This window comes from Homo sapiens, chromosome 7 (genome assembly GCF_000001405.40).
Source record: "Homo sapiens chromosome 7, GRCh38.p14 Primary Assembly".
Taxonomy (NCBI): Eukaryota; Metazoa; Chordata; class Mammalia; order Primates; family Hominidae; genus Homo; species Homo sapiens.
The window spans coordinates 128,850,116-128,865,969 of NC_000007.14; the positions used below are offsets into that span (position 1 = coordinate 128,850,116).

The 15,854-nt window shown below is 57.2% G+C and overlaps 2 protein-coding genes and 1 long non-coding RNA gene across 5 annotated transcripts in view, besides 3 other annotated features; 2 read left to right on the top strand and 1 right to left on the bottom strand.

Annotated features, from left to right (window-relative positions):
- Nucleotides 1-9,157, top strand: part of FLNC (filamin C) — a 28,867-nt gene extending 19,710 nt beyond the window's left edge. For both annotated transcript variants that reach the window (NM_001458.5, NM_001127487.2), the window contains 17 exons: nt 269-368; nt 688-828; nt 1,117-1,245; nt 1,340-1,513; nt 2,476-2,637; nt 2,713-2,916; nt 3,354-3,506; nt 3,600-3,722; nt 3,859-4,101; nt 4,298-4,567; nt 4,660-4,797; nt 5,084-5,199; nt 6,403-6,535; nt 6,630-6,806; nt 7,003-7,221; nt 7,893-8,102; nt 8,221-9,157. In NM_001458.5, coding sequence (NP_001449.3) covers nt 269-368; nt 688-828; nt 1,117-1,245; nt 1,340-1,513; nt 2,476-2,637; nt 2,713-2,916; nt 3,354-3,506; nt 3,600-3,722; nt 3,859-4,101; nt 4,298-4,567; nt 4,660-4,797; nt 5,084-5,199; nt 6,403-6,535; nt 6,630-6,806; nt 7,003-7,221; nt 7,893-8,102; nt 8,221-8,408 — 2,880 coding nt within the window. In that variant the 3' untranslated portion in view covers nt 8,409-9,157. The remainder of the gene's footprint in view (nt 1-268; nt 369-687; nt 829-1,116; nt 1,246-1,339; nt 1,514-2,475; nt 2,638-2,712; nt 2,917-3,353; nt 3,507-3,599; nt 3,723-3,858; nt 4,102-4,297; nt 4,568-4,659; nt 4,798-5,083; nt 5,200-6,402; nt 6,536-6,629; nt 6,807-7,002; nt 7,222-7,892; nt 8,103-8,220) is intronic.
- FLNC-AS1 (FLNC antisense RNA 1) lies at nt 47-12,511 on the bottom strand. Its single transcript, NR_149055.1, has 4 exons — nt 12,410-12,511; nt 3,170-3,282; nt 1,286-1,385; nt 47-290 (listed from the first exon to the last, which is right to left on the bottom strand). It is a non-coding gene; the product is annotated as an FLNC antisense RNA 1 (long non-coding RNA).
- Nucleotides 8,078-8,578: an enhancer, noted in NCBI's record as "H3K4me1 hESC enhancer chr7:128498247-128498747 (GRCh37/hg19 assembly coordinates)". NCBI's record gives its function as "activates a minimal SCP1, AML or CMV promoter by ChIP-STARR-seq in primed H9 embryonic stem cells {active_cell/tissue: H9 hESC(primed)}" and the evidence as "EXISTENCE:reporter gene assay evidence [ECO:0000049][PMID:30033119]".
- Nucleotides 12,355-12,464: an enhancer, noted in NCBI's record as "active region_26604". NCBI's record gives its function as "activates an Ori minimal core promoter by ATAC-STARR-seq in GM12878 lymphoblastoid cells {active_cell/tissue: GM12878}" and the evidence as "EXISTENCE:reporter gene assay evidence [ECO:0000049][PMID:35858748]".
- Nucleotides 12,545-13,034: an enhancer, noted in NCBI's record as "active region_26605". NCBI's record gives its function as "activates an Ori minimal core promoter by ATAC-STARR-seq in GM12878 lymphoblastoid cells {active_cell/tissue: GM12878}" and the evidence as "EXISTENCE:reporter gene assay evidence [ECO:0000049][PMID:35858748]".
- Nucleotides 12,741-15,732, top strand: ATP6V1F (ATPase H+ transporting V1 subunit F). Of its 2 annotated transcripts, NM_001198909.2 has the most exons (3): nt 12,741-12,947; nt 15,005-15,088; nt 15,262-15,732. In NM_001198909.2, the coding sequence occupies exons 1-3, from the start codon at nt 12,790-12,792 to the stop codon at nt 15,461-15,463; spliced, it is 444 nt and encodes a 147-aa protein (NP_001185838.1). In that variant the 5' UTR covers nt 12,741-12,789; the 3' UTR covers nt 15,464-15,732. The 2 variants fall into 2 exon arrangements, with proteins under 2 accessions (NP_001185838.1, NP_004222.2); NM_004231.4 differs by lacking the exon at nt 15,005-15,088.
- Nucleotides 15,733-15,854: the final 122 nt, after the last annotated feature.

Here is a 15,854-nt window from a genome sequence, read left to right on the forward strand (position 1 = left end):
CTTCCTTCATTTCTTCTCTCTACTCCTCTGCAGCCAGGGCGGGGACATGGTCTGGGGGCCTCTTGGGGAGCAGGCAAGAGTTAGGCTGGGCAGATGGAACCCCACTTGGGCACAGCACTCCTTCTCTTGCAGCTGACGCACCTCTCCTGCCACGCTGGTTTCATGATTAACTACCTTGTTCTTTCCTCACTCTCCAGCTTCAGTCATAGCATGGGTCAAACTCCTGGGCCTTCCCCAGTCACTGACTGTTCCCTCTCACCTGCTGCAGGCCACAGAGGAGCCAGTGGTGCCTGTGGAGCCAATGGAGTCCATGCTGAGGCCCTTCAACCTGGTCATCCCCTTCGCGGTGCAGAAAGGGGAGCTCACAGGTACTGCCCTGTGGCTCCCAGGCATGAGGGCTGAGGGGAGAAACCCTCTTCCAGGCCCAGTCCTGTGTCTTAATGATGAAAACAAAGGCCCAGAGAGAGGAAGTGAGCTCTACCCAGGGTCACACAGCAAGTTGGGCAGAGCCAGAACTCAGGTGCAAGCCATCTGTCCCCAGTTCAGGGCTCAGGCCACTGCCACAGGCTGTCTCTTGATGCCTGGCTTCTCGGGTGGCAGCAGAAGCACTCAGGACCAGGCCTGGGACAGCAGGGAGGTTGCAGTGGGGGAAACCAGGGTCTCCACGTAACTGTGTCTGCCCTGCAGGAGAGGTGCGGATGCCCTCGGGGAAGACGGCACGGCCCAACATCACCGACAACAAGGACGGCACCATCACGGTGAGGTATGCACCCACTGAGAAAGGCCTGCACCAGATGGGGATCAAGTATGACGGCAACCACATCCCTGGTGAGTTAGGGGCTGGGCTGGGCTGGGGCTTGGGTGAGAGGAGCAGGCCGTAGCTTCAGTCCTGCCTTCCCTCTTTCAACAAATATTTATTGAGCACCCGCTGTGTGCAGACACCAGGCGAGGCCCCAGGGAGGCTTATACCCTGGTGGGAAGCAGACCTCCACCAGCTGGGTCCCTACGGCACAGACGGAGGGGGTTGGCAGGGAGGCTGCTGGAAGGTGCTGGGGCCAAGGTGGGCTCAGATAATCCCTGATGCTGACCCAGCCCCCTTTTTCTCTGTATCCCCAGGGAGCCCCTTACAGTTCTATGTGGATGCCATCAACAGCCGCCATGTCAGTGCCTATGGGCCAGGCCTGAGCCATGGCATGGTCAACAAGCCAGCCACCTTCACTATTGTCACCAAAGATGCTGGAGAAGGTGAGGGAGCTGCAGGTCGCAGGCTGGGGTGGAGACTCACCAGGGGCAGGGGTGAGGGCAGGACCTCTGATCTTGGCCACACCTCCACCTACAGGGGGTCTGTCACTGGCCGTGGAGGGCCCATCCAAGGCAGAGATCACCTGTAAGGACAACAAGGATGGCACCTGCACCGTGTCCTATCTGCCGACTGCGCCTGGAGACTACAGCATCATCGTGCGCTTCGATGACAAGCACATCCCGGGGAGCCCCTTCACAGCCAAGATCACAGGTGAGGCGGGTGTATGGGCATGTACAGCCCATGAGGCACACACACCGCATACAGTGCACTCATGTGCAAGCCCAGCCCGTTCAAGTCACTCGTGACATTAGGGCAGAGGCCCTTCAAGGTGTGAGGGGTCATATTTTGATAAATGTAAAAACACTCTGTTCTCCACGGCAGCTAAGAAGCAGTCAGCCACTCCTTGTGCCTGAAAACACATTGCCTCATTTAGTCTTTGAAGTCATTTGTTTTGTTTTTGTTTTTGAGAGGGAGTCTTGCTCTGTCACCCAGGCTGGAGTACAGTGGCACGATCTCGGCTCACTGCAACCTCCGCCTCCCGGGTTCATGCCATTCTTCTGCCTCAGCCTCCCAAGTAGCTGGGACTCCAGGCGCCCGCCACCATGCCTGGCTATTTTTTGTATTTTTAGTAGAGACAGGGTTTCACCGTGTTAGCCAGGATGGTCTCGATCTCCTGACCTTGTGATCCACCTGCCTCGGCCTCCCAAAGTGCTGGGATTACAGGTGTGAGCCACCACGCCCAGCATGAAGTCACTCTTAAGAAGTTAGGGCACGGATAATCCTTTTGATAGATAAGGAACCCCTGTCCCAGAGAGGCCAAGCAACATGATTACAGCCACACAGCGAGGAAGGGGTCTGGGCGGTCCAGTCTAGTGTTTTGTTATCACAACATCATGTGACTCAGGGTTAAAATGCAGGAGGTTTCCTTTAGGGATTTAGCCCACAAGGACTGAGGCAGCCACAGTGGAATTGGGGTACAGGCCCCTCTTAGTCTCTGGCAGCTCACATGTGAGTGCAGACTGCACTTTCCAGGCCTTGGGCCTCCGTGCACCTGGGAGTGGCCCCCCGTGTCTGTTGAGTCCAGGGGGGGCTGCTCAGGAGGGTTCCTGAGCCCTGTGAGGGCAGGGCCTGCCTGGAGTCATAGCAGCCTGATGCCCCAACTCCCCCACCAGGTGATGACTCCATGAGGACCTCACAGCTGAATGTGGGCACCTCCACGGACGTGTCACTGAAGATCACCGAGAGTGATCTGAGCCAGCTGACCGCCAGCATCCGTGCCCCCTCGGGCAACGAGGAGCCCTGCCTGCTGAAGCGCCTGCCCAACCGGCACATTGGTGAGCGTGGGGCCTCACGGGGACCTCAGGGGTGGGGGCCCACAGGATGCTCTGCCTAACACCCACTTTCCACAGGGATCTCCTTCACCCCCAAGGAGGTCGGGGAGCACGTGGTGAGCGTGCGCAAGAGTGGCAAGCATGTCACCAACAGCCCCTTCAAGATCCTGGTGGGGCCATCTGAGATCGGGGACGCCAGCAAGGTGCGGGTCTGGGGCAAGGGGCTTTCCGAGGGACACACATTCCAGGTGGCAGAGTTCATCGTGGACACTCGCAATGCAGGTACCTCCTGCCCCAGAGAGCCCCCATTCCAGCGGGTGCCTCCCACAGGCACTTGTCCTCGTCCTGCCCAGCACCCCCTTGGCCGCACTCTCTCCTCCCTGAAACTTCCTGACCAGTCTGCGTCAGGATTCGCATTCTGGGGCCCCTTGCGGGAAAGTGAATGGCCCCGCATCAGTTCTCTCCCTTTTAAGAGAAAGCTCAGCTGTCCTGAGTTTCTGTCCCTCCCTTGCTCACTGGAATCCAAGAGGCTTACCTTAGGGAATTTTCCAGACCGCCTGTCCCGTGGTGCCCCCGCTCCTCCCACTGAGCCATTTTTGTTAGTGGTCACTACACACATCGGTGCCCATTCTGGGTGGAGCCTGCAGTCTGGGGAGAGGAAAGCATTGTGGCTTGGCCAGCCTAGGACTGAGGGAGATGTGTTCCTTGCTTTCCCCCAGGTTATGGGGGCTTGGGGCTGAGTATTGAAGGCCCAAGCAAGGTGGACATCAACTGTGAGGACATGGAGGACGGGACATGCAAAGTCACCTACTGCCCCACCGAGCCCGGCACCTACATCATCAACATCAAGTTTGCTGACAAGCACGTGCCTGGTAAGGCTCTGGGCAGAGGTCGGTGGCGAGAGACAGGGAGGCCAGGAGGCTGGGGCTCTGAGGTTCCTGACCCACCCTTTGTCCCCACTTCAGGAAGCCCCTTCACTGTGAAGGTGACCGGCGAGGGCCGCATGAAGGAGAGCATCACCCGGCGGAGACAGGCACCTTCCATCGCCACCATCGGCAGCACCTGTGACCTCAACCTCAAGATCCCAGGTAGAAGCCTGGAGGACCCTGGGTGGGGCGGGTGGTGGGAGAGGGCTGGCCCGGGCCAGAGCCCACCTGTCGGGCCTCCACCCTGCTTCCTCACCCCTCGCTTCCCTCCCTCACCCTGGCTCCCTTGACCACACAGGAAACTGGTTCCAGATGGTGTCTGCCCAGGAGCGCCTGACACGCACCTTCACACGCAGCAGCCACACCTACACCCGCACGGAGCGCACGGAGATCAGCAAGACGCGGGGCGGGGAGACAAAGCGCGAGGTGCGGGTGGAGGAGTCCACCCAGGTCGGCGGGGACCCCTTCCCTGCTGTGTTTGGGGACTTCCTGGGCCGGGAGCGCCTGGGATCCTTCGGCAGCATCACCCGGCAGCAGGAGGGTGAGCACCGCACACTGGGCCGGCCGGGTCCTCACGGCGGGATGGGAGGGTGCTGCGGACCAGGCTTGATGCTGGCAGACTGGCCCCGAAGGCCAGGGCAGGTCTGAGCAGAGGAGGAGGTTTAACTGATGGGGGAGGGAAGGGCCAGGGCTAGGAGGAATCCCAGTGTTGCCCTGACATCCCCCAAACCCTGCAGGTGAGGCCAGCTCTCAGGACATGACTGCACAGGTGACCAGCCCATCGGGCAAGGTGGAAGCCGCAGAGATCGTCGAGGGCGAGGACAGCGCCTACAGCGTGCGCTTTGTGCCCCAGGAAATGGGGCCCCATACGGTCGCTGTCAAGTACCGTGGCCAGCACGTGCCCGGCAGCCCCTTTCAGTTCACTGTGGGGCCGCTGGGTGAAGGTGGTGCCCACAAGGTGCGGGCCGGAGGCACAGGGCTGGAGCGAGGTGTGGCCGGCGTGCCAGGTAAGGGGCAGGTGGCCAGGAGTGGGGATGAAGTCAGGGCAGCCAGTGTGAGGGGCGATGATGCTGAAGTCCACTACCTTGCCTGTCCCCAGCCGAGTTCAGCATCTGGACCCGGGAGGCTGGCGCTGGGGGCCTGTCCATTGCTGTGGAGGGTCCTAGCAAAGCGGAGATTGCATTTGAGGATCGCAAAGATGGCTCCTGCGGCGTCTCCTATGTCGTCCAGGAACCAGGTGGGCGTCCACACTGGCAGTGGGGCTGGGCCTGCCTGACCTTCCAGACTGGGTTTCTGCCCACTGGCCAGGCAGGAGATGCTTGGGGCCACAGAACTCCCCTCCCCGGAGCCCCCTGCTCTTCCTCTGCCCCGTCTCCCTCTACCCCACACCCTCAGAAACATGTGTCTGCCTCCAGATCTGAGCGCTGACCACAGAGCCTTTCCTGGGATAAGGCCAGGGTGGGGAGGCTCCCGCCCTGCCAACCTCCATCCCGGAACCTGTGCTGACTGGTCTCTCTCCCCAGGTGACTATGAGGTCTCCATCAAGTTCAATGATGAGCACATCCCAGACAGCCCCTTTGTGGTGCCTGTGGCCTCCCTCTCGGATGACGCTCGCCGTCTCACTGTCACCAGCCTCCAGGTTTGTGCCCAGGGTGGGGGTGGAGGGTTTCTGCTATCTGAGAGATGGGCAGGAGTTGAGGACAGCAGGTCCATGGGGCCAGGGATTTAGCAGTGACCTTGGAAGGGCCAGTTAGGAGTCCCTTCTCATAAGGCACGAGGCAGGGCCCTTGGGGACGGTGGGCTCCCACCCTGGGGGCTTGCCCGTGCACTCAGGCATGCCACGCCTCGTTCTGCCTTTCTCAGGGTGTGTCTGCCTGTCCTACTGCCACCTGCCATTTCTTGTTACAGTTTGTTCCACCTTCTGTTGTAAGAATGCTAGATGACAACATTTATAAGAATGAGAGCATAAAATCTATACAAACTAAGAGTAAACCAGTTTGCACAGAGGGTGTGAGAGGCTCCTCTAAAGGGAATGCCTATGGGCTGCAGAGCCTGGGCTGCATCCTCTTCAGGCCGCTGGGGGCCTGGCTTGCTTTCTCTTGCTGCTGACTTCTAGAGATGTGGTGTGTTCCTTTCATTCTGTCACAGCGGACATGTGCAAGGAAGGCTTTCAGCAAGTCACACTGAAACATGCAAACCAGGGGGCCAGGTGTCCAGGGGACACATTGTAAAGGAGCTTCTGCATAAGGCGCACAGAATGGGCTTCACCCCACCTCCTTCTCCCACGCGCCTCCTGGCTGCCCCTCAGGGTGGTCACATTGGCCCATCCAGAGTCCTTGTGCATCTCCTCCTCCCACTCCTGAACTGGGCTCCCCGATGCAGGCTCCAATCCCTCCCCCAGAGCCCTTCTGTGCTTCTTCTGGTCCTCCCTGTTGGTCCACCTTCTCCAGGAAGCTCTCCCAGGCCAGGCCAGTGAAACTCAGCTTCCTACCTCAGAGCTCTCTGGCACCCCCAGCCCACACAGCCCATCAGGCACTTGCCCTCCGCCCTCAGCCTGCTTCACACAGAGTGGGGCCCTTCCTTCCTCAGCCAGGACAGGGCACATCGTCTGTCATCTCCCACACACCAAGCACAGCTAGGATAGCAGGTGCACACATAGGGTTGCATACCGGACCCTGGCTCCTCCTGCTCCCAGGCTGGGCTGGCAGGCAGGGGCCAGGCTGGGCATGGGGTGGCAGCAGCCTTTGGGCTGGGCTTACAGTGAGCACCGTGTGGGGCTTCAGAGAAGACTGCTCCAGCCCCGGCCTCCCAGGAGTCTGAGCATCCTCCGTGGCCTTTGCAGGAGACGGGGCTCAAGGTGAACCAGCCAGCGTCCTTTGCCGTGCAGCTGAACGGTGCCCGGGGCGTGATTGATGCCCGGGTGCACACACCCTCGGGGGCTGTGGAGGAGTGCTACGTCTCTGAGCTGGACAGTGGTGAGCTGGCCCTGCCCCTGCCAACTCCCTTCCGGGCTGGGGCCTTCTGGGGAGGGGAAGGATGGAGGCTAAGCCACCAACCCTTTATCCACAGACAAGCACACCATCCGCTTCATCCCCCACGAGAATGGCGTCCACTCCATCGATGTCAAGTTCAACGGTGCCCACATCCCTGGAAGTCCCTTCAAGATCCGCGTTGGGGAGCAGAGCCAGGCTGGGGACCCAGGCTTGGTGTCAGCCTACGGTCCTGGGCTCGAGGGAGGCACTACCGGTGAGTGCCTGGAGCTGGGGAACAGGGTGACTTCTGGGGGTGCTTGGCCACTAGTCTGGTGCTGCTTTGCTCCAGAGGTAGGGGCCCTGCTTCCTAAGCCAGGAGTCCCCACAGAGGCTGTCCAGGGAGCTGGGGCCCAGTCCCTCTTGGGCCACAAGCCCTTCCTGCCCTCAGCCTTGCTACCTCTGGCCCCCAGGTGTGTCATCAGAGTTCATCGTGAACACCCTGAATGCCGGCTCGGGGGCCTTGTCTGTCACCATTGATGGCCCCTCCAAGGTGCAGCTGGACTGTCGGGAGTGTCCTGAGGGCCATGTGGTCACTTATACTCCCATGGCCCCTGGCAACTACCTCATTGCCATCAAGTACGGTGGCCCCCAGCACATCGTGGGCAGCCCCTTCAAGGCCAAGGTCACTGGTGAGTGCCAGTTTGGGGGAGGTCCACCCAGCCTGCAGCCCAGCCCAGCCTGGAGGGCTCCGGTGGCCACGCACATCTAGGCCATAGTCTGCCCCCAGACATCATGGTCAGTTTACCAGGGCTAGAGGTGGGCCTGGCTCTACACAGTACACGTTCTGTGGAGTCGGGCATGATCACGTAAAAATGCCATTCTTCCTCTCCATCGTGGCCCCTCACTCCTTCAGCTCTGGCCTGCGCTGGCTCCTCAGGCTCTAGCACCACTTTCTTCCCTCCTGGCTTCCCATATTCCTCCGCTCCAAGAAGACACAGTCGGTATTGAGCAAGCTTCCCCTCTTGAGGCTGTCTGTAGGATGAGTTGGGTGGGTGTTCCTTTGTAAAGTGGCTCTTACCCTGTGAGTTAGCCTGAGTTCCCAGACAAAGCCTGCAAGGATGAGGGACGCAGCATCTGAGGCCCCAGCCCTAGGGTGGAGCACCAGTTGGAGCTGGCAGCTCAGGGCCCTGGCTGGGAATGAGGCTGTGCTCCTAGAGTGGCCCTTGGAGGAATTTGAGGGGGAGCCTCAAATGCAGGCAGTGAGTCCCACAGGGTGGCAGTGCTGGCCGAGGGTCCCCTGCCTGGGGAAGAACAGGAAGCCCTTCTGACTAGGTTTGTGCCCCCTCCACCCACCCCTCAGGTCCGAGGCTGTCCGGAGGCCACAGCCTTCACGAAACATCCACGGTTCTGGTGGAGACTGTGACCAAGTCCTCCTCAAGCCGGGGCTCCAGCTACAGCTCCATCCCCAAGTTCTCCTCAGATGCCAGCAAGGTGGTGACTCGGGGCCCTGGGCTGTCCCAGGCCTTCGTGGGCCAGAAGAACTCCTTCACCGTGGACTGCAGCAAAGCAGGCAGGTGGCGGGGGGAGGGCGTCTCCCGGGGTGTGAGCAAGAAGCCGTCAGGGAGCAGGGTGTGGGTCACAGTAGGGGACTCCCTGGTGTGAGCCTGTCCCTCTGCCTCCCTCTCCAGGCACCAACATGATGATGGTGGGCGTGCACGGCCCCAAGACCCCCTGTGAGGAGGTGTACGTGAAGCACATGGGGAACCGGGTGTACAATGTCACCTACACTGTCAAGGAGAAAGGGGACTACATCCTCATTGTCAAGTGGGGTGACGAAAGTGTCCCTGGAAGCCCCTTCAAAGTCAAGGTCCCTTGAATCCCAAAAGTGCCTCCCCAGCCTCAGCCCCCACCTCCAGCCACACACACATTACACACACACACACACACACACAAATGTGCCACACCCAGACACGCACAGAATCAGACACTACAAACACCTGCCTTGGGGGTGAAGTGAAGGCCCAGCCTCCCCACCCCACCGCGCCCCAGGGGTTGGAGGACCTTGTCTGTGTCAGGACAGTGTCCCTCCCTGGGAATGTGACATGAGGGCCGACTGGGGCCAGGCTCAGGGGCAGAGGCTGGGACACAAGGGGCTGGCGAGGGCTGCGAGGCCAGGGAAGCCCTGAGTTTCTGGCGGGGCTGAGCAGTGGGGGAGCATTGTGTTGTGGGTGTCTGTGTGTGAGGTCACCCTCAAACTGCACCGCCGGCCAGATACCCTCCTGACCCCGAGGACTTGGTCTGGTCTCTCTGGTGGCTACAACCCCAGAGTTTTAAGGACTTGGAAAGGAAAGCACAATCAGAGAAGAAAACAGCCCCCGAACCAGCAGGAGTGGCCTGGCACATGGACCGGCCTGAGCGATGTGCACTCCACCCAAGCCAGGCTCCCAGGGGGCCTGATTTCTCTCTCACTGTCTCTTTTTTTAAAATGGTTGCACGGCTCTGCCCCATGGGGGGCCTTTTTTACACACTGCGAGGCCCAGCTTTCTAGGGGACTTTTGCACATGTCATGCAGCTCAGCTGGGAGCTGCTTAGGTGGAAAACTCCAAATAAAGTGCGGCTGTCGCAGAGGGTTGGCTGTTCCTTGGGGGTGTGCTCTGTGTGGCTGGCTGCCCTCTGGCCTGCCACACGAAAAACCGGGCCCTGGGGAGGCAGAGGCGGCCTGGCTGTTCCCTGGAAGATTGACCCAGTCGAGGGAAAGGTCCTGGGGCAGAAGTGAGGTCTGGGATGTTGGCAGAGTGCTTGAAAGAACCGGGGGTGGGGGCTCGGGGATGTGGGAAGGGGTCCCAGCGGGAGGGTTCGTGGACAGTACAGGGTGTGGATACTGTGTTCTACAGTACTGTCCCAGGACCCCTGGGAGGCCAGTTTCAGTTCAGCTTGACCTCAAGGATGTTTTTCAAATTAAGACTTTAAAACAGTGAGCACTGACTCAAACAGGAATATTCCTCAACCAGCAGGCAGGCAGAACCACCTGCAGACTCAGCACCTTCCCCCTAGTCAGTTCCTGAATCAACTTGGCCTGTTTCATGCCCCTTTCCAGCACTAAGCTTGCACAGGGCCTCCCTCCTGAACTCCTGCAACAGCCCTGCCCTGGCCAGCTCCCTCCAACCTCCCCTCCATGCTGCAGCTTGGCGGGGGGGTCACTTTAAAGATAGTATATGCCCCTCTCTGGTTTAGGGCCATCTGTGACTCCCTCCTGCTCCAGAGTAAAGTCTCCTCTTCCTGACAAGGTCTCCAGGGCCACCCAGGTTCAGACAGCAGCCTCCCCAGCCATATGAGTTGGGCAGCAGGCCCACTCTCCATTGTGCCCTCCACCTCCAACCCCCCTTCATTACCTCTGGGCACCCATGCTGTAATTTGGGCCCTTGCCCGGAAACACCTTTGCCTCCCCACCCTCTTCATCTTCCTGGCCAACAGGAAGTTTTCCTGGACCCCTCCCTACCCCTCCTGGATCAGTGCCCCCAGCTCCCAAACTGCCCTGGGACACATCTCTAGTTGCAGTTACGACCCTGAGCTGTGGCCATGTATCCACGGCTCCCCACCAGATGGAGCTCCCTGGCCCTGGGTGTGAATGAGTGAGTGAATGGGTATGAATGAATAAATGAGCAGCTGAGTAGCTGCAGCAGGGAAAAGAAGTCTTTCATTCAACTGATCCCACAATCTAGACCCACCTGGGCATTTCAGCACATGGTGGTGGGCTTGGCAGAAAAACCCACGAGTCCCCAACTCCTAATCCCTGACCTCCCCACCTCTCTCACCAGGCTCTGTGCTTCCTCCCTCTTCCCTCACACCCTCCCACACACCCATCCTCACTCTCTGCCCCCCTCACCCTCACCCTCACCCCTAGATGTGCTAATTTCCCCCTCAGCTTCGGCTGCCTCCACCTGTGTGTGGCTGATAAGCTCACAGACCTCCAGCCTGCCTGCTTCCAGCCAGCCACAGTGTGGCCCTGGGTGCTGAGCCTTACAGGCCCTTCCTCATTAATCCTCATAACAGCCCTATGAGGTGGGGCTACTACCATCTGAAGAAACCAAGGCCCTGGGAATTTCAGTGATGAGTCTGAAACCGTACCTTTAAGTAGTGGGGCACAGATTGAAACCCAGGTGTGCCCGAATCCCAAGCTTATCACACATACAATCGCTAGACCAGACCACGGGCACGTCTCAAGCACTCCAAACTCACAAACCCCATGCCAGACACCGGGAGTGCTGATTTGTTAAAAGGGAGGAGGAAAGAGTGGCTCCTTCCCCTTCAGCCTGCTCATCTTACAGAGGTCACTTTCTTGGCAATGTTACTCCCATCCATGTGCTGCACAGGCCAGAAACCTGGAAATCACCCAGGTCTCTCTCTCTACCTCACTCCCCAAACACATCCACTCTGAAACCAGTTTTGTCCTAAATATCTAAATATCTCTCGGCTCTACCTACTTCTCTGCGTTTCCCATTATCACCACCTGAGTCCTGGCCACCATTATCTCTCACAGTGGCCTCCCAATTTGGTTTCTCCTCCCTCAGTTTCGCCTCTGCACACAGCACAGTCAACAGTGAGTGACAGCTCTAAAACGTAAGTTTGGCGATAGCACTCTCTTACTTGAAATCCCTCAGCAGCTTCAGGATAACTGTCCTCAGGATAACTTCCAGATCTTTTTTTTTTTTTTTTTTTTTTTTTAGACAGAGTCTCACTCTGTCACCTAGGCTGGAGTGCAGTGGCGCCATCTCAGCTCACTGCAACCTCCCTTGCCCGGGTTCAAGCAATTGTCCTGCCTCAGCCTCCCGAGTAGCTGGGACTACAGGCACACACCACCTCACTGGGCTAATTTTTTTTGTATTTTTAGTGGAGATGGGATTTCACCATGTTGGCCAGACTGGTCTCAAACTCCTGACTTCAGGTGATCTACCCGCCTCAGCCTCCCAAAGTGCTGGGATTACAGGCGTGAGCCACCGCGCCCAGCCTGCAGATCCTTTTTTTTTTTTTTTAGACAGGGTCTCGCTCTGCTGCTCAGGTTTAAGTGCAGTGCCGTGATCATAGCTCACTGTAACCTTGAACTCCTGAGTAAGCCCTGCTGCCTCAGCTTCTCGAGTACCTGGAACTATAAGTGTGCACCACCACGCCTGGCTAATTTTTTTTTTTTTTTTTTTTTTTTTTTTTTGAGACAGAGTCTCGCTCTGTCACCCAGGCTGGAGTGCAATGGCACAATCTCGGCTCACTGCAACCTCCGCTTCCCGGGTTGAAGCAATTCTCCTGCCTCAGCCTCTCGAGTAGCTGGGACTACAGGCGCCCACAACCACGCCCGGCTAATTTTTTGTGTTTTTAGTAGAGACGGGTTTTCGCCATGTTGGCCAGGCTGGTCTCAAACTCCTGACCTCAGGTGATCCACCTGCCTCAGCCTCCCAAAGTGCTGGGATTACAGGTGTGGCGTGAGCCACCATGCCTGGCCTTACCAATTATTTAACTTTCCTTGAAGGCCCTACGCTCTCTAGTCAGTACGCCTTTGCACATGCTGTTCCTCTGCCTAGAACACCGTCTTGTCCTCACTTCTATCCCCTTCATCCTGCAGGTCCTTCAGGTCTCAGCTTAGATCTGAAGCAAGCTTCTTGGGGAAGGGTTCTTTGGACGCCCCCTCTCTCCATGGGTTAGTTACCATGGATGTGTGCTTCCATATACTTTTCACATTCTAACCATTAACACACAGCTTTGTAGTCGCCTGTTCCCTTGACTTTCCACCTCACTAGGCAGTATCATCATTAACTTTTGCATTCCTTTAACTGAACAAACGTGTGTTACTTGTTAACTATGTGTCATAGTTACACACATACATACACGATAAAGACCCAGACCCTGCCCTTGAGATGAGTAACTGCGTCTCTTCTCTGGGGTCTCGGCGTCTAACAGCGTCAGGTCCAAAGCGCTTGTTGAACGAATGAACCAAGGAACGAGTGAATGAACGAATGAATGCCCGCGAAGGACGTGGTGCCGCGCGGTCTTCTGGGAATCGTAGTCCCCTGGTTCGGGCCTGTCTTTACGGCGCAGGCGTATTCACATGGAGGCCGTGTTGCTGTTAATGCGCATGTCCCGGAATGCGGCTGGGAGGACTGCGCATGCTCGAAGGGTGGGGGTTGAGGCCGACGGGGCGCCGTACGGCGGAGGCGGGGTTTCAGTGGCTTCTGGTGCTCTAGGGTGAGCTCTGCCCGGCTGCAGGGATGGCGGGGAGGGGTAAGCTCATCGCAGTGATCGGAGACGAGGACACGGTGACTGGTTTCCTGCTGGGCGGCATAGGGGAGCTTAACAAGAACCGCCATCCCAATTTCCTGGTGGTGGAGAAGGATACAACCATCAATGAGATCGAAGACACTTTCCGGTACGGTACCGCGCGAGGCCTGAACGGGCCCTTCTGCTGCTCGGTGGAGTGCGGGGCGAGGCTGGAGGCTGCCCGGACGGGGGTGAGGGGACGATCCTGAAAGTCCTTCCGCCCTTCCGGAGCGGAGGCCTCCGCGCCCCAAGTCCCCGTTTGGGGCTCGGTGGGACAGAAGCTGTATCAGGTCCACGAGCCCCCCCACCTCACATGATCGTGTGTCATGAAAGAAGGGGAACAGAGCTCGTGACAGCCTAGACAGTGGGCTTGGACTTTGTTCTGCTTTCTCCTCCTTTAGAGGCTCACCATCGTCCCGTAAGGCAGGGATGATTTTTGTCCTACTCACAGGTGAGAAAACTAAAGCTCGGAGAGGGTAAGGCACACACTAAAGTTACGAGTCGGCAGAGGCAGAGCTAGAATTTGAACCCAATCTCAACCCTTTCTGCCTCCGGTAAGCCAGGTACACACTCTTGGCAGGTCTCCTCAGGCGGCCTCGGAATTTCCTTGTAGTCTTGAGCACAGTAGGCAGAAATGTCGGGACTGTGAGAGCCTTCTGCTAAGACCTTGCACTCAAGCCCTCACTGCCTGCCTTAGGTCAGAGTGTGGGTGCAGGCATGCTTTTAATCCACCAGGGGTCCTGGTGACTGGAATTAAGGATACCAGCCTCCTATTTTATTCCTCACCCCTTCTCCAGGGCCCCTGTACCAAGTCTCAGGAATAAACCACTCACCTGTTTCCCCCAAACAGTCCAGCCCAGGGCTGCTGGCTGAGACTGGTTCCTGCTGCCTGGTGTATTAGGTAGTCCCTGACCTGGGAGGCTGTTATCTGCCATTCTCTAAGCTGTCTGGTAAAGTGACCCAAGTTATCATGGGAGAAGGACAAATTTTACTTCAAGAATTTTTTATGTTTCCAACCAAAAGGGACCTCAGAGATCAAATCTAACCCAGTGACTGGCAGGGGGTGGGTGCTCAGTAAGTAATTTTTAATCAGTAAATAAACGAATGAGTCTGGGTGCAGTGGCTCACGCCTGTAATCCCAACAGTTTTGGAGGCCGAGGCGGGTGGATCACCTGAGCTCGGGAGTTTGAGACTAGCCTGACCAATATGGTGAAACCCCATTTCTACTAAAAATACAAAAATTAGCCAGGCGTGGTGGCGGGTGCCTGTAATCCCAAGAAATCAGGAGGCTGAGGAAGGAGAATTGTTTGAACCTGGGAGGTGGAGACTGCAGTGAGCCGAGATCCACCACTGCACTCCAGCCTGGGTGACAGAGGGAGACCCTGTCTCAAAAAAATAAAAATAAAATAAACAAATGAATGGGTGGGTGACCACAGGAGAGAAGGAGCACAAGGCCAGGTTCTTTTTGTGCAGAAAGTGTGATTCCTTCATCAAGGTGTCCTCTTCCTAGCTTGTGATCTTAGTTCATGCCAAACTTTCCCTCTGACCCCTCCACCACCCTCATCAGGATAGACCTTGAGGCCTTCAGTGGTCTCATCAGCCCTATTTTTAAATAATTTGTTTTCTTTTTAAAAGTTAATGTGTCTTTTTTTTTTTTTTTTTCTGAGACAGGGTCTCACTCCTGTCACCCAGGCTGGATTGCAGTGGCGTGATCGCAGCTCACTGCGGCCTCGACTTCCCAGGCTCAAGTGATTCTCCCACCTCAGCTTCCTAAATAGCTAGGACTACAGCTTCCCAAGTAGCTGGCACATGCCGCCACATCCAGCCATTTTTTTTTTGTGTGTATATATATAGATAGATAGATAGATCCGCCACATCCAGCCATTTTTTTGTGTGTGTATATATAGATAGAGAGAGAGAGAGAGAGAGAGGGAGATGGGGGTCTCACTATGTGGCCCATTCTGGTCTCAAACTCCTGGGTTCAAGCAATCCACCTGCCTCGGCCTCCCAAAGTGCTGGGATTACAGGCGTGAGCCATCACAGCTGGCCTTCAGTATCTGCACATAAAAAGGGATCTGCATACATATAATCTTATCCTTCCCCTTTCTGACACATCACTGCATATTGAATACACCAGTGTGCACCCTAATCAATCTTCATTACCAGTTCACTTGGAAGCCTTCCGGGCAGTGTTGTAGAAGCCAACCCTAATCAGCGTGACCCTCCGCTTTGGGATGAAATTGATTCTAGGTAGGGTTGACAGAGGGTTGAGCGTGGCAGCCTTTCCCCTTGTCCTCTGTGCCCTCTGGGTCATGCTCATTCCCCTCCACAGCCCAGCCCAACAACTCGGAGAGGGCTGCCTGGGTAGGAGAGACGGCAGCCCCCAGAGCTGTCCTGGACTCCCTTCTCATCTCTCCCCACAGGCAATTTCTAAACCGGGATGACATTGGCATCATCCTCATCAACCAGTACATCGCAGAGATGGTGCGGCATGCCCTGGACGCCCACCAGCAGTCCATCCCCGCTGTCCTGGAGATCCCCTCCAAGGAGCACCCATATGACGCCGCCAAGGACTCCATCCTGCGCAGGGCCAGGGGCATGTTCACTGCCGAAGACCTGCGCTAGGGGACTCCTCATAGCCCTCAGCCCTTCCCTCGTTTCCAGGCCTCTCCCCAGGCTTGCCATCAGCCTTCTTTACTTTTTGAGCCTCTGATTTCCAATTCCCTGCTCCTTCCCACTCCATTAAGAGGCTAGGTGAGGCGCTTCTAGGTTGCTGGGGCTCTGCTGGTTAAGGAACAGGAAGCCTGACCATCTCCCTCCACTACCTCTTCCCTGTGCTGTTACACAGTGTCATTGTTGATGTTAAATTAAAGTCATATTCTTGCTTCTCTCCAGATGGGTTGGGTGCTGGAAAGGACATGTGTGGGGTGAGGCCATGGGGCAGATTCGGTTGGCAAGGATGGAAAAGGTGCTGCCAAAGACAGGCATAGAAGAGGTGGCCCAGGAGGATTGTGCC